Here is a 21,279-nt window from a genome sequence, read left to right as displayed (position 1 = left end):
AGGGGCTCTGGGAGTGGTTGCCGGGTGAGTTAGACAGTCCAATTTCCAGTGGGGTCCCGCACAGACGGGACACAGCTTAGGAGGAATCCTGGGCTGTTGACATTCCTTGGCCCAGTGGCCAGATTTCTGGCACTTGAAGCAAGATCTTGAGGGAGGAGTTCCTGTAGGAATGCCTAACCATTGCATCTTAGGTGTTTTGAAGTTCTTGTATGCTGGAGATGTGGCTGGGGTTTCTCTCACAGTGGAGGTAAGGAATTGCAACTCAGAAATATGTTGCCACTTGGATGCCTGTTCTCTATATTGTACACCTTGAAGGCGAGGTTAATTAAGTCCTGTTGTGGGGTTTGAGGGCTGGAATCCAATTTTTGGACCTTTTTCTTACATCAGGAGTGGATTGGGTAATAAAATGGATATTCAGAATAAGACTGTTTTCTGTCCCCTCTGGGTCTAGGGTGGTAAAGCTTCTAAGGGTTGTTGCCAAACAGGCCATGGACTGGGCTGGGTTTTTATATTTGATGAAAAAGAGCCTAAATGCTAACTGATCTGGGAGAGGTCCAATAGAGAAAAAGGCACATGTACCCTGACTATGCCTTCAGCTCTAGCCACCTCTCTAAGAGGAAGTTGTTGGGCAGGTAGGGGAGAGCTAGTCGTGGAACAAAACTGTAAGCCAGACTGGGTGTGAGGAAGGGAGGTAATAGAAGGGTTATCTAGATCTTGTAGGATGGAGAAATGTAAAGTGCCATTTTCTGGCCATTTAGAACCATTATCGAGTATGTATGGGGGCCAAGCAGTGTTGCAGAAGAAAATGAGACATTTACGTTTTAGGTCAGGTGTGAGTTCAGGAGGTTTTAAGTTCTTGAGAACACAGGCTAAGGGAGAAGAAGGGGGAATGGAGAGTGGAAGATTGCCCATAGTGAGGGAGGTAAGTTTAAACAGAAAGGTAGAGACACAGAGAAGGGGGTGGTGAGCAGCCCTGGGCTGTAATGTGGGTGTGCAGCCAAAGCAGTTGTCCCCACAATTGACTTGCCACTAAGGGAATGTGGGTGAATGACCAAGGCAGGCATCCCTGCGGTGACCAGACACCAATGGAATGTGGGTGAATGATGAGGGCAGGTGTCTCTGCAGTGATCAGACACCAGTGGAATGTGGGTGAATGATGAGGGCAGGTGTCCTCGCAGTGATCAGACACCAATGGAATGTGGGTGAATGATCAAGGCAGGTGTCCGCATGATGATCAGACACAAAGGGAAGACTGTCTTCCTGAGTTCGTGACTGGCGCTGGAGTTTTGGGTCCACGGATAAAATGTGTCTCCTTTTTCTCTTCCAGAGAGGAAAAATAACTGGAATTGGAAGGACAGGGAGATTGAAGGGTAGCACGAGAGGCTGGAGAAGAGAGTGAAAAAACCACTTACCCAATTTGAAATTGGTGAGATGTTCCTTGGGCTGGTCTGTGGACCCGAGGTCGTAGGTGGATCTCCTCATGGAGTGAGGCACCAAATGTCATGTGCGTCCATGTGAAGAGACCATGAAACAGGCTTTCTGTGAGCAAAAAGGCTTTTTAATCACTTGGGTGCAGGCAGACTAGTCTGAAAAAGGAGTCAGCAAAGGGAGATAAGGGTGGGGCAGTTTTATAGGATTTGGGTAAGTAGTGGAAAATTACAGTCAAAGGGAGGTTTTCTCTTGTGGGCAGGGGTGGCAGTCACAAGGTGCTCAGTGGGGAGCTTCTGACACTCATTGTCCAGGAGAAGTAATGTCACAAGGTCAGTTGATCAGTTAGGGTGGGGCAGGACAAATCACAATGGTGGAATGTCATCAGTTCAGGCAGGAATTGGCTATTTTCACTTCTTTTGTGGTTCTTCAGTTGCTTCAGGCCATCTGGATGTGTACATGCAGATGTGGGCTCAGAGGCCTGACAATAAGATTTGTTTTTTAGAGTTTCTCCCAGTTGTTATTTTAGCTTCTTGTATCTGGATGTTTAAATCCTTATCTAGACCAAATTTTTAGAAATTATGTCATCAGATATGTTTTCCTGACTTTTTACCTTTTCTTCTTCTCTTTCACAAATGCATATATCTCATAGGTTCGTATTTTTTTACATAATCCTCTATTTCCTGAAGCCTTTGTTCATTTTTTAAAAATTCTTTTTTCTTTATTTTTGTGTGACTGGATTAATTCACAGGACCTGGTCTTCAGGCTCTTAAATTCTTTCTTCTGTTTGATCTAACCTAGTTTTAAGCTTTCAACTACATTTTGTAAATCTTTTAATGTATTTTTTATTTCCAGAAGTTCTTTTTTTTTTTTTTAATATATCTCTTTAGTCAATTTTTCATGTATAACTTGAATTGTTTATCTGATTTCTTTGTGTTGGTTCTCTTGGATTGCTCTTTTTTTTTTTTTTTTTTTTGAGACAGAGTCTCACTTTGTCACTTAGGCTGGAGTGCAGTGGCCTCTTGCATCTCATTGAGCTTTCTTACATTTCACTTTGAATTATCTGTCATTTCAGAATTCCCTGTTGGTTAGGTTCCATTGCTAGAGAGAGTGTGATCCTTTGGGAGTGGCGAATCACTGTGTTTTTGTACTGTAAGAGTTCTTACTCTGATTCCTTCTCATCTGGAGGAGCTGTCTCTTCTTATGTTTGAATTTGCTTTCACTTCTTCATACTTTTCTTTCTTGATGCTGGGGCTGTAATATAAGTTGTATATAATTGTCTGCCTTCAATTCTGGTTGCTTTCACGGGGCAAGGCTTCATATTTATTCCTTTTTAAAGATAATTTCTGTGTATGGTTTTTTGAAATGCTGACATTTGCAACAATGTATTGGGCATATGAACCATCTCACTATATTTTTCATGTCCTGGAATGTGGAGGTCTCAGGAAGATTATCTTCTTTCCTAGCACCATGCCCTTCTGTCAACAAGTATTTTTATTTGGTTGTGAAATTCAGCCTCCAGTCCAGTAGATGGCAATTACAACTAAGAGCTGGCTCACTCTCAAACACCCTGAAGATGACCAGAAGCACATACTATGACTGGGATGGTTGAGGAAGTTCATGGTCATATGGGGTGAGGTCTCCATAGGGTGGTGTAGGGAGAGGGATACACTAGTTCCTTGTCCTAGGCAGGTAGAAATGTGATTCATTTCCCTATCATACCCTCATCCCAGGGCTCATGAGCTTCATTTCAAAAAGACATTGTGCTTTATCTCAAGGCCACAATGTAACTGAAGTCCATGGAAAATGCTTGAACTGCAGCTACCACCAAAATGGCCTTGGGGTGGATCCTCTTCCCTTAGCCCAAACAGACAGCTCTGTGGCTGGTCTGCAGTCCACTGCAGAAATGCTGCTGCTCCACATATGGAGTGGGACATGAGCACAACCCTTCGTGCAAGTCTGGACAGGCAGACACAATTTCGGTGGGGATGCAGCTGCCCTAAATAGCACTGGAATGGCTGTCTTCAAGTAAGCCTGTGCCAACTCCCAGTACCAAAAGACATGCCATATCCACAGCAGTGGATAAGGGGGTGAGAGAAGATCCTCTCTTCACATCCATTTCTAGCCACTCGTGCCTCCTGCCCACTGGAATGGAGCAACACTCCCCTTTTTCATTGATCTGCACCAGGCCCACATTTTGAATGGAAGCACACAGTCACCTTCTGGTCACAAAAAGGGGGCTCTCTGGCCAGGGAGACCATGTTATCTGGTTTCCTATGTCCCAAAGTACACTTTGATGGCTGCAATAATTTTTACCCTAGGGCCGTCCCATATTGTGGGCTAAATCTCTTGGGATCCTACAGCTCCTGAGAGCAACCATCTCCTATGGTTGTCCCAGTCATATTTCTATTTTCTATTATATTTTTTCTATACATTCTATTTTTTGTTTACAATGTGAATTTTCCAAAGTGCACTCTAGGAAATATTCATGGAGCACCTAGTGATGTGGAGACACAAGGACTGAAATTCTCTTGGCATGTTAATGGCCCACAACTGGTACACAACCAGTATGATGCCAGGATGATGTCTACTGCCTCAGCTCAGATTTGAAGAAAGAGTGAATGAACCTGCACAAGCTGACCACCTGATGCTCTGCTCTTCAGAAGTTCCCAAATCACTGCCAAAAGTAGTGCCTGGGCTCATGAGGGTAGACTAGCTCTCCAACAATTTGGCTGTCAGCAAGCCACCATAGGTTTGGGGGAGCAAAGAAACACCTCCACCTATTCTTTCCGTGGAACTGCAAGTTCCTCAGTGGTCACTCTCTGCTAGACTCTTGCTGCAATTCAGTTTTTCCCTTGGGCCTGTAACTTTGGATCTTCTTTATGAGGAGAACTGGCATCTGACATCTCTAGTCTGCCATGTTGATAAAAAGAAAACTTGCACTATTTTTATACGGTAAAATGTAAGCATAGAGATTCATTTTTGTGCAAATATTGCCCATTCCTTATTGGATTACCTTGGCACCTTTGCCTATTGATTATATATGTATGAGTCTGTATTTGTCTGGGTCTACTTCTGGGCTTTCTAATCTATTTGTTTGTTCTACATGTTTATCTTTAGGCCAATATAGCCTGTCTTCATGTTTGAACCTTGAAATCAGGTAGTGTGAATCCTCATATTTTGTTCTTTTTCATAGCTATTTTGATTAATCTATATTTTTAGCTTAGGTTTGAGTGCTGTAAACCAAAATTATTTCGGACAGATCTCAACCAATTTAGAAGTTTATGTTGCCAAGGCTAAGTACGTTCCTATGACAAAGTCTCAGGAGGTCCTCAGAACATGTGCCCAAGGTGGTTGGGCTATAGATTGGATTTATATGTTTTAGGGAGACATAAGACATCAATCAATACATGTACGTTGTGCATTGGTTCAGTCTGGAAATATGGAACAACTCAAAGTGGAGGCTTCTAGGTCATAGGTAGATTTGAAGATTATCTGATTGGTAATTAGTTGAGTTTATGTAAAGACCTGGAATCAATAGAAGTTAGTATTTAAGTTAAGATAAGGAGTTATGGAGAGCAAAGGTTTATTATGCTGAAGAAGCCTTCAGGTAGCAGGCTTCAGAGAGAAAAGATCATCTTAAGTATCCGTTTTAATGTTACACCGGTCGATTGTGCCTAAATTGCAAAGGGAGGAGGATATAATGAGAGATGTTTGACTACTTGTTCCCATTATGGCCTATACTCTTGTTTCAGGTTATTTTTGGAATTCCCTTGACAGACAGGAGGGGTCCATTCAGTTGGTTGCCCTGTTGAGGGGTGAGGACAGAGTGCTCAAAATTCTATTTTTGGTTTACAATGTGAATTTTCCACATAAGACTCTTTATTTCTATTTTTTAATGTCCATGATTATAATTGGGATTGCACTGAAATCATAGAGTGAATTTTCCAAATAAGACTCTTTATTTATATTTTTAATGTCCATGATTATAATTGGGATTGCATTGAAATCATAGATCAATTTGAGAAAAATTGATGCTATAATGATATTGAGTCTTGTGATCAATGGAACTGGCAAATATGTACATATTCTTTCATTTTTCTCATCAGTATTTTTAAGTTTTCAGCACAGAAATCTTACATTTATTTGTTAAATGTATCTTTATTTCATGACTTATATTGTTCTAAGAAAAGTTATAGTTTTTTAATACTTTAATTTCCAGTTTATTGCTAGACTATATAAATACAATTAATTTTTATACATTGACCAAATATCATGAGGCATCGCTAAGCACACTTATTTCTTATAATGCTTTAAATTTTACTCTAAGTGCTACTTATCTGCATTCCATGAATTTGTATGTTATGTTTTCATTTCCATTTAGTTCAACATATTTTATTTTTCTTTTGACTTTCCCTTGGATACATGTGGGTGATATATAAATGCAGTATTTAATTTCCAAACATTTGGGAATTTCCCATGCATCTTCCTTAGTGTTTTCTGTTTAAACTCCATTTCATTCTTTTAAGTTTGAGTTTTATTTTCTGGCCCAGAATGAGCACTGTCTTGCAGAATGTGTCATGTGTAGTTGAAAATAATATTTGTTATGCTGCTGTTTGCTAGAGTGTTCTATAAATATCTATTAGGTCAAATTGGTTGGTAGTGTAGTTTAGGTTTTCTGTATTCCTAATGATATTTTCTCATTCTTTTCTATGAGTTATTAAGACAAAAGTCTCTGTTATTGTAGTTTTCTCTATTTCTTTTATTTTATCTTTTTTCTTTATGCATTTTAAATCTCTGTTGTTAGGTGTATACACACTTAAGATTTTTATGTCTTCTTGATGAATTGTCTTATTGCTTTTACATTTGTTGTTATCCTTGGTAATGTTCTGAGTTGGCTTTATTTGATGTTAATACCTGTATGGTCATTCCAAATTTCATCAATTTAGTGTTTTCATGACACATCTTTCTCCGAACCTTTTACTTTTAGTCAATTATGTGATTATATTTATTGTGTGTTTCACTCTGGTAACATTTGATCAGTCTAAAGATAGTTACCTTGGCAAAGCAAAGCCAGTGAATTCCCTCTCTGGGACTTTCATATCTAAAACAGTTGGCCAGTATTACAAGTGATATTGTGTGTTTCTTTTAGAGATCTTATAATATAATTGGCTCTTGTTTTTTCATCTAATCTGACCATGTTTGCCTTTTGATTGAGATATATACACTTCATGCAATTATTGATATGGTTTAACTTAAATCTGCCATTTTGCCATTTTATATTTTATCTCTCTGTAGTTTATAGCTTTTGTCCCTTATTCTTTTGGGTTAGTTGAGTATTTTTAATAATTTCTAATGATTTTGTTTTATATCTACTATTGGCTTGTTAGTTATACTTCTTTCTTTCTTTCTCAGCTGTTGCTCAAGAATTTAAAAGATATATCTTTAATTTATAGCACGTTTCTTTTAATCAATCCCAAACCAATTACTTTTCATTATGCATAATAATATAGAAATGTATTAAAAACCAGTAGACAAAACAATGTTAACCCTATAAAATAGTAGTTTTAAAGCTGAGTTTAACCTTCAAATAAAGCAGTGTAGCTAAATGAAAAAACTATTTGTTCCTCCTCCAAAATATACTTGACCCTTTTTCAGTCTTTCCCAGTCCTTTTGAAATTCCATCAGTAGTCTAATTCTAATGTTACTCAAGCTAAGGACATGCATTTTTTGTTATAATACTTTAATAGTAAAATTATGTCAATTATTATCTAATTATTCATATTCTGAAAATATCTGAAAATCCATCCTTAAAAATGTGTAGTACTACATGATTTTTATGTTTTAATTTTTGATCCCCTTGATGACTAATAGCATCACTTCAATCATTGCAAAACAATGTGCAAGTACTAGAGGAGGACTTGCACATTGTTTTGCAATGATTGAAGTGATCAGACACTTCTCAAAAGAAGACATTTATGCAGCCAAAAAACACATGAAAAAATGCTCATCATCACTGGCCATCAGAGAAATGCAAATCAAAACCACAATGAGATACCATCTCACACCAGTTAGAATGGCAATCATTAAAAAGTCAGGAAACAACAGGTGCTGGAGAGGATGTGGAGAAATAGGAACACTTTTACACTGTTGGTGGGACTGTAAACTAGTTCAACCATTGTGGAAGTCAGTGTGGCGATTCCTCAGGGATCTAGAACTGAAAATACCATTTGACCCAGCCATCCCATTACTGGGTATATACCCAAAGGACTATAAATCATGCTGCTATAAAGACACATGCACCCGTATGTTTATTGCAGCATTAGTCACAATAGCAAAGACTTGGAACCAACCCAAATGTCCAACAATGATAGACTGGATTAAGAAAATGTGGCACATATACACCATGGAATACTATGCAGCCATAAAAAATGATGAGTTCATGTCCTTTGTAGGGACATGGATGAAATTGGAAATCATCATTCTCAGTAAACTATCGCAAGAACAAAAAACCAAACACCGCATATTCTCACTCATAGGTGGGAACTGAACAATGAGATCACATGGACACAGAAAGGGGAATATCACACTCTGGGGACTGTTGTGGGGTGGTGGGAGGGGGGAGGGATAGCATCGGGAGATATACCTAATGCTAGATGACGAGTTAGTGGGTGCAGCGCACCAGCATGGCACATGTATACATATGTAACTAACCTGCACAATGTGCACATGTACCCTATAACTTAAAAGTATAAAAAAATAATAAAAAAAAAGATAATAGTCATTACAGAATTGTGACCACAATGTACATGGTATTATATCCATGGAAACTGAAAAACATTACTTCATCTCTTTCTTTTCTTTTTTTATTTATTTTCTTTTGGACTTTATTCTTTTTTTGTTGTTGTTGTTATACTTTAAGTTCTGGGATACATATGCAGAATGCGCAGGTTTTTTCCATAGGTATACACGTGCCATGGTGGTTTGCTGCACCCCTCAACCCATCATCCACATTAGGTATTTCTCCTAATGCTATCTCTCCCTTAGTCCCCCCACTCCCTGACAAGGCCCAGTATGTGATGTTCCCCTCCCTGTGTCCATGTGTTCTCATTGTTCAACTGCTACTTATGAGTGAGAACACGCAGTGTTTGGTTTTCTGTTCCTGTGTTAGTTTGCTGAGAATGATGGTTTCCAGCTTCATCCATGTCCCTGCAAAGGACATGAACTCATCCATTTTTATGGCTGCATAGTATTCCATAGTGTATATGTGCCACATTTTCTTTATCCAGTCTATCATTGATGGACATTTGGGTTGGTTCCAAGTCTTTGCTATTCTTTCTTATTCTCATATTTAAATTCCAAATACCATTTTCATTAAAGAAAAATAATATCCCATCGATTTCATTTAGTTAATTTAAGTCAAATGATTTTAATTTGAATTTTCTGGGTTTTCTATCATTTATGTTTAATTTTAATTGTTATTTTATATTTTATGAGGTATAAACATGATAGATTTGTATGCTATTTGTACATATTCAAATGATATTATCATAAATATACTTTATGGTCATACTGAAGAACCGTGGAATTTTTTTCTATTAAAAGATGCCTATTTGTTAGCCAAGGTTGAAATTGATAAGTTTGTACCTTCCCTGAACTTCTGCTCAACTTAGCCCCTCTACATCCATTACCTCTTTCCTCCAGAATTTGTGCCTTTGACTCTTGTACCATGTAGGGAGTATGAGTTTATTACAAAATGGTACATCCATTCATATTTGATCAGCCTCAAGTGCTAAAGAGATTATAATAAGCCAATCACTGTGCAGCTTTGTTTTCTACCATATGAAGAAACTAATTCTGCAAGTGAGATAAAGAATATGAAGTCAGAACTCAGAGAAGTGTTGATAGACTCCTAATGTTTTTTGAGTTCTTATTTTCCATGATACCTGTGTTACAATTCCGTTGTTCTTGAAGCATAATCATTTAACACTGCTTTGGATGTAAAGAACTAACATGGTATCCCTTCTTCAATTCCTCTTCATGTTTAAAGTCAGTTGAGCTGGGTTTCTGACACTTGAGGCCAAAAGTGTATTAACTAGCAAAGTATGATATCTCGTCTTTCCACAGCAAGAATCTGAAGGCTTGCTCACAGAACATGAACTTCTGTGTTGTTAACTAAACAATTAACATGCTTCACAAAGTCTTATGAAGCTTCAATGTAAACTTGTATCAGTATTTGAATATAATATTTGTTTTCCAGGTAATTCAACAAGGTCCAATATTTTGTAAAATTTCAGTCAATTTAAATATTTTTATTATCACAGGAAAAACACTATCTTTTAATACAGTATTTTTGCTTTCCGAAGTTTCAGTTACCCCGGAACAGTACAATAAGATAATTTGAGAGAGAGAGGGAGAGAGAAAGAGAGAAAGGGAGCCCACGTTCACTTAACTCTTATTATTATACTTATCCTATTTTATTATTGATTACTATTGTCAATATCATATTGTACCTACTTTATAAATTAAAGTCATCATAGATATGTACGTATAGGAAAAAACAGCATATTTAAGGTTCAGTACTATCCATGGTTTTGCGCATCCACTGGGGATCCTGGAATGTATCCCCCACGGATAAAGAGAGACGACTGTATTGATGATCAGAAGTTTTCTAATGACCTAAATTAACAATATATTATTAAAATGTTTCAATAAACTATTCAAATATAAATAGCTAATTTATATTTTAGTCTATTTATAATTTTAGAATACTGATAAAATATATATAACATAAAATTTCAATTTTAACCATCTTTACCTATACAGTTCAAAGGCATTACATTCATTCAGGTTGTGGTTCAACCATCATGACCATTCTTCTCCAGAACTGTTTTCATCTTGCAAAATGGAAATCATATACCCTTTAAACAATAACTCCTCATTTTCTTCTTCCCTCAACTCCTGCAAACCTCCGGTCTACTTTCCATCTCTACAAATTTGACTATCTGAAACACCTCATATGTGGAATCAGAGTATTTGTCGTTTTGTGACCAACTTATGGCACGTAGCATAATGTCTCGATGGTTCTTCCATGTCATAGCATGTGACAGAATTTCCTTCTTTTTAAGGCTGAACGATACTCCATTGTATGTTATACCACATTTTGTTTATTTGTTCACCTATCCATGGACATATGGGTAAATTTCCCCTTTTGAATATTATGAATAATGCTGCTGTAAATGTGAATGTACAAATATTTTTTCAGTACCTACTGTCAGTTATTTTAGCTAAATACCCAGAAGTGGCATTTCTGAATCATGTGGAAATTCTATCTTAACTATTTTAAGGAATTTGCCATACTGTTTTCTATAATGTCTGCCACATTTTACATTTCCTTCAGCAGTGCACGGATGTTTCAATTTTTCTTCATCCCTACTGACACTTATTTTCTGTCTCTTTGATAATTGCCATCCTAATAGGAGTGAAATGGTAGTCCTTTAATTTTTTTTTCAGTTTTTTTTTTCCTTAGAAGTTGCTAGCAAGACAAACAATTCAACTTGTGGTAGAAAATGGTGATATTTTGGTAAGGCGGGCCTTTTTAAAAATGATGAATTGTGTCTTAGTCTGTTTGTGCTGCTAAAACAAAATATCTGAGACTCTAATTTATAGAGAACAGAAATTTATTCTGGAAGCTGGTAAGTCCAAGATCAAGATGCCAGCATTTTGTAAGGACCTACTTGCTGTGTCCTTACATGGCAGAAGTCAAAAGGACAAATGGGACGAATGCTAAGGCTTATTTAGCAGAAGAGTGAAGAACAACCTAGGTAACACTGTAAGACATCTCCTTTATAAGAAACTTAATCCCATTCACAAGGGAAGTGCCCTCATAGCTCTCAAATGAATATATCTTTTAATACCATTACATTGGAGGTTGGAATTTCAACATGTGTATTTTTGAGAGGACACGAACATTCAAACCACAGCAAAATCTATCACAAGGCAAGAGTGATCATTAGGGAAGAAGTCAAACACTTTAAACACAGAGAGGTTTGGAATCATAACAGAAATTGCTCCTTTGTTCAATTTAATTATTTAGTTGTCTATGGCCCTATTTACATGATGCCAAAATAAATAAATAAATGCTTTATTTATTCAGAAATCTGGTTAGTTTTATAGGAAAACATCCATCAGAGTCTATTTGAGCAGGTATCATCTTAGGAATTGCTTATTCCTTTTAACCCACGTTTGTAAACATCCCCTGCCAATACAGTCTGACCCAACACAACCCTTTCCTTCCCTGTGTCACTAACTGCTAGAGTGCAAGAGAATTATGAAGCAGTGTGTTTTCTCATACTCATAGTGACACTTTCACAGCTCACTTGAGACTCTTGGTATATGAGAGAGAGAGATAGTACAGAACTCAAAAGGATCACACTTTGGAAGAGAGATGTGATTTAAATTGGTTTAGGGCCAGAAAAGTTCAGTGTCTTGAGCAGTGTAGGATCTTGAGCAAACATAATATCAGAGAAGGGCTGAAGAGCTGATAATTATTATAACCCCATTTTGGACTAAAGGTGCTTTTGTGGACCACATGGTAAAGCTAATAATAATCTCAACAAGCAAATATAACCCAAATTTCCATACGACGAACTTGTAAGCACATGCATGTAACAAAGTTTAGTTGTATACCCAGGACTGTCTATACTTGACAACATGTTTATTTATTTTCATGTTTTGTAAAGAATAAAACTCATACAGTTATTTGATGAAATCGTACTAATTGATCAATGTAGTATCACATACATACAGCATAAACGTGATTTAGCTTCAATATTCTGTTTAGTTTTGAATCCTGTGAGACTTTTGTTACACAGCCATTTCTATAATGACTGCAAATATTCAACATCCTGGTTATGGCAAACATGCCTTAGGGCTGTAAAATATCATATTCAATTAAATGCATCCTCTCTAGGGAGAGCCACGCACGTGAGTATGCATTTGAACAGACAGCATGAGAGAGGAAGAATTTATTTTAGGAATTAAATCTATTTAAAATATTTGCCAGTTTTTCAGCTTCGTAATTACTGTGTTTATCTAAATTCACTTTCATCAGAAAAAATTAATTTAAGAAGCATTAGGTGGAAATAAGAAATGGATGCAGCTGAATCCATTGCCCAGTAAGAAAAAAAAAAAACTTGGAAATACAAATTTGTAGTTTTTGATTGAAGATAATATTATAATGCAATGAGGAAAAAATTTTAAGAATATCAAAAATTTTCTGTTACTTCTTAGGAAACTCTTTAATGTTAATATGTTTTAAAATACAGTAATGATACCCTTAAGTTAGTCTTATGTCTTTCTCTGAGTTTTTAAACTTAAGCTTATTATTCCATCAAATGAACAAAACTTTTATACTCACTGGGTAACTTAAAGGCTATGAGAGCAATTGATTTTAGAAATGTTTAATTTTCAGGTCACTATAAAAATAATATTTATATTATGAATAGATTATTTTTATATAATTTATTCACAAAGATAAAAGTTGAAGAAATTTTAAATATATTAACCTTAACAATATAAAAAGAACATCTTTTTTTCCATATAGTAAAATCACACCAGATTTCAATGTTCTTAGTATGTAAGGCCATTTTTAGGTTCCACTATGTGTGTGTGTGTGTGTGTGTGTGTGTGTGTGTGTGTGCAGGTTTTAATAACAGTTATTGAAAAATAGAAAAGCAATAATAAAATTAACTGTATTATGCTTAATTATAGGTTAAGGACATTGCTATCGGAAATCTCAGTAAGGACAATCATGGGATTTTCAGCCCTAATAGCGGGGACTTACTGTATAGAAATTCTTAGAATATCTTACATTGATGGTCCTGCTAAATAAAGTACAGTTAGTAAAGCAATAACTTACTTCAAAAATTTATTTCAGGAATACATAATCTTTTATTATTCTTTATCAATAATATTTTTTGAAACGGTTGATTTGTAAATGTTTTAGACCTTGAAAAATATAATAATAATAAAATGAATAAACACAGGTGGTCTAAGTGGCCCATAAGAGAGAAATCTGGCAAATATGATATCAAGGGTGACCACTGGTCTATTTATATGTCACCAGTGGGCAGGAGATAAATAAGGCTGTCCAGGAGTCATAGGATTGACACAGTGGACAGTAGTAGGATAGAATAACAGGTTAAGTAATACATAAATGGCTGGGCACAGTGGTGAATGCCTGTAGTGCCAGCTACTCAGAAGGCTGAGGCAGGAGAATCACTTGAGCCTAGGAGTCAGAGTCCAGCCTGGGCAGGGAAGCAAGACCCTTTCTCTAAAAAAAATTAAGAAAATAAATGTCTCTTAGCAAAGACAATTTGGCTGGATGGATGATGAGGAGACAGACACAAAGAGAGAGGGTCATTCATTATCAATCTATGCAAAAACAACTCAGATTCATGAGTCACGTTGCTTGAAAGAGACTATTTCATGAATGAGAACACATGAGGGAGCCGAATCCTTAGAAAAGACTGTAGTTATAGTCCTCGTGTTGTACATTAGATCTCTAGTGTTGTACATTAGATCTCTAGTCTTTCTTACTATACTTACACAATAGCGCATTGCATTTGGATTTTTTTTAAATGAGTAAATTAAATGAGTAATTTTTTTAAATGAGTAAATTAAAGCTCTTATTGACATAAAAACAAAGGTATTTGTGTGATCAGGGTGGTGGCTAAATGGGTGTATATATATATATATATGTGGGTACATGTATATATAAATGGGTATATATATATATATATACACACACACATATATGTAAACTTCCAAATCTGTATACTTAAGATCAATGCACTTTATACATATTACACTGAGCGTGTTTTACTCGAAAGCATTGAAAAAGCCCTTGTTGTTCTTGAAGAGTGGAGAGATGGAAGCTAAAATGGAATGGAGGAACTGGTTAGGCGACAATTGTCACATCCATAAGAAAAACAAAGGTGATTTTTGTCTAAAGTGGATATGTTGAAGACAGAAGGAAATTTGGAAATTTGATAATTTAGAGATGCAATGAATGGGACTTAGTGACAGTTTGGATATGAAAGGTAGGAAGGGAGGATGGCGATGCTTAAGTTTCTGTGAATGCCTGGCTGAAATCAACAGACTATACTGATGGCTGGGACGTGGAAGTTGGAACAAGAAGCTGGTTCTCAGGAATCTAGCCTGAGTACCTGAATGGTAGAGCTGGGAAAGACTGGAGAAGAAATATTTAAATGAGAGATGAAGGGAAAGATTTAATCAAGAGTTCAAGTTTGAATATGTTAAATTCGAGGTTACTGTGGGGCAGGAGAATGAAGATGTCACATATCCTTTTGACTACTTGGGTCTGACCTCATGATAGAGGCTGGGTTGGAGAAATACTAGCACACAGAGACTATTAAGGATGGAATTTTCCCAGAAAAGAATCTAGAAAGAGAAAAGAGTCCAGGACTGCCGCTTTACAGACCAATATTTAGAAGCAAGGCAGAGAAAAAGAAGAGTTAAAAAAAAAAGTAATACGGAAACTATCATAAAAAGTGTGGCCAGAAGGATAGGAGGAAAACAAGGAGTATATGAGAAAACAGTTTCTAAGAGAAGGGTTTCCAAAAGACAGGCTGTAAACTGCGTTGAACATTTCGGACAATTCCTTTTTAGCATAAAGGAAGTCATTAGCTACCTTAGTAAGAAGTTCAGTGCAGTTATGGGAGCAAAAGTCAGATTGAAGTAATAAGAAAAGAGAAGAGAAATTATGGTAATAGAAAAAGTGAGTAGAGACAACTCTTCTTAAGGAATACCTGTAACTAAACTTGGCAGTAAATGGAATGTGTTAAGAAAACAAGCAACAAATAGTTTTGGCTGTTGTTTTATCTTAAGATAGCAGAACATTGCGTAATACTGGTAGAAATTATTTACATAAGAGGAAAAATATTCAAAAGGCAGCGATGAGAAAATTGGCTTGAACAAAACAAAAAAATAACTCTTTGTATTGAAATGGAATTTTCAAGAAAATGACCACAGAATAAATTGGCTAAGTAATACATTTTTGGCATTATTTTGCCATGCAAAAGACAAAGAATGTAGAAAGCAATAACTTATATTTAGTACTGAGGAATTGGGCACCCACCCACAGTATCATTTCTAATCTTTGATATAATTCTTAGTAAAGGATTATGTATTTGAAATGTAACTTTGCAAATTCTATGTAACCGTATATTTACTTTGCAACAAAAATTGTTCTTTCCACCTCAAAACTCATTTAAAGTGACTAAAATAGAATAACAAAGAACCAAGTGCCTACTCTTTCTCTGATCCTGTAATTACTAAAATTCACCATTTTATGTTTGATTACTTCACTTCATAATATTTCACATTTTAAAAGTTCAAAAACATTTCAAATGCTTCCGTTTAGTATGCAGATGTGGAAGCACATAATAATTACCTTTAAATAAGGATCATATCTTAATTTTAGCAGGTAAACCTGTAATAGATACTCCCTTCTAGATCCCATAGCTACTTTTTTTTGTTTTGATTTGTTCCCCCTTTATTCTGATTACACTTTTTGCCTCTGTATCTCAAACTTGCCTAAAATAGGAGTAACTCAAGGACAAAAAAATGGGACTCATGGCATATAGAAATAGTGCATAGCAGAATGTAAAATAAATGAAAGGTAAACAAATGTACCTCTTTCTAATAGTAATCTTATTTTCAGATGAAATTGTTTATTAAAAGAACAACTCCTGCGTGAGAGTACCTGTTGTGTATCACTTGTTGAAACAGAGTGAGCTTTAACTGTTCTGCAGAGCGATCTCTCTTCTGATCATCCTTTGGTAACTGGAATGCATTGTTTTGTTTTATGTTACTTTCTCTTTTTACTTTATCCCCTATTATTCTATACAAGCAGCCACTACACTAATAGAACTATGTGAGGGTATTGGGAAAGTGTTCAATAAATGTCAGTACATCTTATTCATTGACATAAAAAAGCACTTTACTCCATACCTCCAATCATTTTAGTTGCCCCTCCAGATCTCTAAAATTTGGCAATCACCCTGAAAGGACACAAAACAAATGATGTATTTACTCAAAGCACAGACAGGTCTGAGCATTAGACCAATCTCAGTGGTTTTATGAGGTTTTAGTATCCTCTTTATTTCTTTGTTGGTGAGAGAGGGATTCCCGTCCTAGGGTTATGGGGATGGTTGAACATGTGACACCCAACACTCGCAGGTTAGATCAGCAGCAGTTGATCTCAAGTGATTACTCACATATACTCACATCTCAGGATAGAGGATACCACTCACTAAGCAGAGTCACAGAGGGGTAACTCTCCAGAATAGAGTCAACAGCCAGAAGTTCAAGGGCTGTGGGGGGTATTGTTGTGTCAAGAGGGTGAGATGCCCTTGGTTCTTCCAGAAGGATGTGATTGGCTTGGCTTGTTTGAGCAATTCTCTGGGCTGGCAAGGTAATGAAACCTGTTATTCAGGAAACTGCCTGGTCTCCCTGATGAGGAGGGTTGTTTTGATAGTAGACCTCATCCATTAAAGCAGAATGTGAAGGGAACTTGCAATAAGCCATTTTAGGCCATCTTAATTTCAAGCCATCTCAATTTCACCAGATGTCAAGGCAGTACATAATATGGGGTCCTAATTTTAGGCCTTAAACTACATATGACAACCCAGAATAGACAGTTGGACATAACAGGGAAAGGCCAGGCATATGACAAGGAATGACATTCAGAAGTAGTTAAGAGTCAGTGAATGTATGTGTGTATACATTTGAAGATGAATAGTTATGTATTTATGGCTAATATCGCTATTAAAAGAGTTGAGCCAAGATCTAACATGCAAAAATATTAATATTCTGCTTTTTTCTACAAAATACTAGAATACCATCAGTATAGCACAAAGCTTGCCCAAAGAAAGCAAACTGCCTGGAATTTCTACAGACCTATTTTTAGTTCCAGTAGATTTTCTCTGATGAGTTATGGTGAGAAGTTATTTGTGTGGCTATCATTGATTTAATGTTGAAATTTATACTCTTTCATTAAAATAATAAATTCTCCCTCATAATAGTTGGTAAAATTGCATTAGTCAAATAAATTAAATTAATTTGCAATCCAACTGCATTTTCATCTTGATACAATGAATTACCAAGTCTTTTGCAGTAGCCTTCTCACCAGCCCAGCTGTGTAGCTCTGAAATCACTTGGTTAGTAATTAGGTGTTTATCAGATACTTGCTGAAAAGGCAAGAGACAGTTATCTGACACAATTATCTTTGAAAATTGAATCCTCCATTTCTGGTCCTGCTGAGGACATTCAAAGGAGTAAGAAATGGTTTAAAGCTAAATGCCTTTCAAAAACCCTTGGCTTCTAGAATGCACGCAACACAATTGACAGTCAGAAAAAATTTTCCCTACCTTTCATGCACAGCCTTTTGTGTATGAATCTTTTTGTTACATCTTTGTGCATGTTGACATATGAAAATTACTTTTGACCTTCTCTTCTGTTATTTCATTAATGTCTCTCTTACTATAGCATTATTTAATCACCAGTCTGAAATTTAATGCTTGTTCCTTTCGTCCTCACCCTGCTGCTGTAGCTTCATAAACTAACCCAACATAAGGGAAGGTAATTGCTAAGATTGACTAGGCTGTATATGCATCTAGAATAATAATGTTTGTAGAGGTATTTGCTCTTAAGCAATCTAAAAATTTGCAGCTCATTTAAGTATTAATGGACAATCTACTCATGGCTTAGAAATTAATATCATGCTGTAATACGAATAGCTATAAAAACATAGTTATTCAGACACTAAAAATTCCAACCCCATATAATGGACTTAAATTTCAATGTCACATCCATTTAAAAATGATCCTGTGACTACTCTCCCAATAGTATTGAACTAATTTTAGGTTTTCATACACATTCAAGGCAGTGTGTTTGAAATTAATTTGTGTACAAAATGAAAGCAAATGTGAACAAAAACTGAGTACATTTTGCTCTGGTAAATATTGGTAAATAGAATGTTTTTCTAAGCATTCTCTATTTTTTAATCTACCATGATTTCTTGCCTAAGGTAAAGGCAATCTTCAGAAACACATAGACTTTATGAGTATTATAGTTTTTATGTTTGTACTCCATCTCTTCTGCAAGTATATTAGTTCAGTTGCATACATGTCTGTGTTCGTACTACTGTTTTCATTCATCCTTCCATTAACTCAACAAATAGTGATTTTTACATGGCAGGCATGGAAACAGACTTGTGAAATATCATAATAGAGACCTTTGCCATCTCATGACCTCCAGCTTTTCCACTTCAAGTCCGTGCTTATAGAGCTTTTGGCCAAAAACTTCATTTGCTCAGTTCATTCTTCAGCTTAAATGTCTGTTTTGCACACGAAGCTATTTACATTTTGTTTCATTTGATTTTTTTAGCTTCATCTCCTGTCAGAACCTCCTACTTATATTTATCTGAAATCCCATCCGAATGAAACCATCTATTGTTTTTCAGACATAAAGATTCTTTCCTTCCTGCCTCTGCACTGTTGGTGCTTTCGTTTAGAATTTCCTTCTCCAGTCCTGAACCCTTTTGGTTCAGTCAACAACTACTGTTCTTTCGAATTCCATCTCTAATGTTCACTTCTGGGATGAACATTTTCCAGTTTTCCAGAAGCCTGATTACTTCGTTCTCTCTTTGATCTGATAATACAGCACTCTGTTTATACATTATATTAATAGAAATTACCACCGCTTGTAACTTATCTCCATCGCTCCCTCTGCCCTACTGTAAACTCTTCTTGAGTAGGCACTGTCATTCATTTTTGTATCTTAGGATGGTGCATAGTAAGTTGTCAAATAACGTTTATTAAATAAATGAAATGTAAGCATACAAAAATCATCATTTTAGTATAATTTTGGTATATTCATGTTTTTGTTTAGAGAAATTATTCTAATAGTGACATCATGTCCCATTAAATGCACTTTTTTAAAACCTCATCAGACATTAGTATTTATTGAAATGTGAAATTAGCACAGTGTGGATTTTTTATCTTTAATGTACATCATAGCTGGTTTTAATTAAAGTTTTGGTCTCTAAAGTGAAAAAAAAAATCAGCAGGCGTTCTTTTTCATTTAAACTAAGCAGAGGGAAGAGAATGATCACAGCAACCCCCTCTAAAAGTAAAGGAATTCTGGAGGTAACTACCTTATTTGCTGTATACTTCGTTTGTTGTTAATCCCAGGATTTGCCAGCTAAACATGCTTGCTAAACAACTGTTCTGTTTCTCTAATTTTCTCTCACTCCCTTTTCTCTGTGTTCTCTCACTCTCTTTTCTCCCTACCACTCTACACTTCTGCCTCTCAACATGTGTCAAGACAGACCAGCTTCATGTTTAACTTCTCTTCGACCAAACCAATGTTCAAGCGTTTTTTATTCTATTTTTGTGATCAGTCTAAGATAAATCTAACTCATCAGAGGCAACACTTATTAGAACACTGATGTTATTGATGTGTACTTCCATCTTACATTTCTTGAATGATGATATTGTTCAGAAAAATACGTCTGCAACTGAATTCACTTTAGCTAGGATGACCAGACATCATGCGTCCCACTAATTTTCATCAGAATGATGAAATGAACAATATGATTGAAGGTCAAGTGGGCATAGAATTCATCTGACTGAGCTAGTGTAAGCACAGCATTTTGAAAATTGCTTTTGTTTGAAAATTGCTTTCTTTCTGTCTTGGTGTACATGAGTATACTTTTAAGGAATCATCTTCGTGAATTTGGACATTCATTTTGAAAAAAAATGCGTGATGTAGACAGTTTTAATTTTAGCTATAAAATAAGAAAGAAAAAGAAAAAAATTTGGATAGACTATATTTTATTACTTTTCATTAGATCATTTTTTAAAATGTCTTTATTATTTAAATAATTCTACTAATATAGGAATGCAATATTTTTTAAGCAAGTCAGAAAACTAATTCTGCCTGAGGCAACCCTGTAATTAAAGTGAAAGAAGATAATATCCCCGTTTTTCTGTCTTTACATTTGCCTTTATGTTAGTAATACTAATAAACCTCACATGTTTAGGGTGAAAAATTGATTTGAGCTTTTTTGCATTTACTGCTGTGTTTTTTCTCCCGCCCCCTACCCCTAAGGATTTGTAAGTTTGATTTGCCATCGATTCTTTAATGATTATAGTAGCTACACTAGAGAAACTAGTGTTTATCTTCATCATGCCCTGTGGATATAACATTAGGTTTATTTTTATACATAGCTGCTTTTTCATCATTTTGATAACATAGTCTAGCCAGCAGTTGACAACCGTCTTACTGTTTTATTGATTTTATATTTTAATCTTGAAAAGCATTTATGAATTCTAAGAATGCACTATATTAAAAATATCTAATCCAGAAGTCATACAATTATTGCTTTAAACCATGTTAAACTGCTGGCTTTAACATGCTGAACAGATGTCAAAGATTAAGTAGAACTTTTAATGATTATTAGTTTGACTCTTTTCAGGCTTCATCTAGTACTTTATTTGAAGATGTCAATCAGTATTTTGAATACTTCACATGCAGGGTTATAAAAGCCATCTTATACTCATTTTGTAGTGATAAAATAATTATTTATCCTTTCTTTGTGATGACTGTCCTAAGATGATAATACAGTAAAACCTAAAGTACACAGAATATGTCTCCCAGCCCTGAGTACCAGCACCTGCTCTGGTGGAGGTGGCAGGGGAGTGAAGTGGATTGTGAGAGTCCTTGGTTGTAAATAGGTTTAGTCCTGGCTTTCTCGAATGCTGG

At 35.8% G+C, this 21,279-nt stretch overlaps 1 protein-coding gene across 10 annotated transcripts in view, besides 1 other annotated feature; it reads left to right on the top strand.

Annotated features, from left to right (window-relative positions):
• The window catches only part of ROBO1 (roundabout guidance receptor 1), a 1,170,760-nt gene that overhangs the window by 147,774 nt on the left and 1,001,707 nt on the right, over positions 1-21,279 (top strand). The gene's annotated exons all lie outside the window — the stretch shown is intronic.
• Positions 937-2,136: an enhancer, noted in NCBI's record as "MED14-independent group 3 enhancer chr3:79667239-79668438 (GRCh37/hg19 assembly coordinates)". NCBI's record gives its function as "activates an origin of replication core promoter dependent on BRD2, BRD4, P300/CBP and CDK7 cofactors, and independent of MED14, by STARR-seq in HCT116 cells {active_cell/tissue: HCT116}" and the evidence as "EXISTENCE:reporter gene assay evidence [ECO:0000049][PMID:35650434]".

The sequence above is a fragment of the Homo sapiens genome, chromosome 3 (genome assembly GCF_000001405.40).
Source record: "Homo sapiens chromosome 3, GRCh38.p14 Primary Assembly".
Lineage (NCBI taxonomy): Eukaryota > Metazoa > Chordata > Mammalia > Primates > Hominidae > Homo > Homo sapiens.
This window is presented reverse-complemented; position numbering and strand designations above follow the sequence as displayed.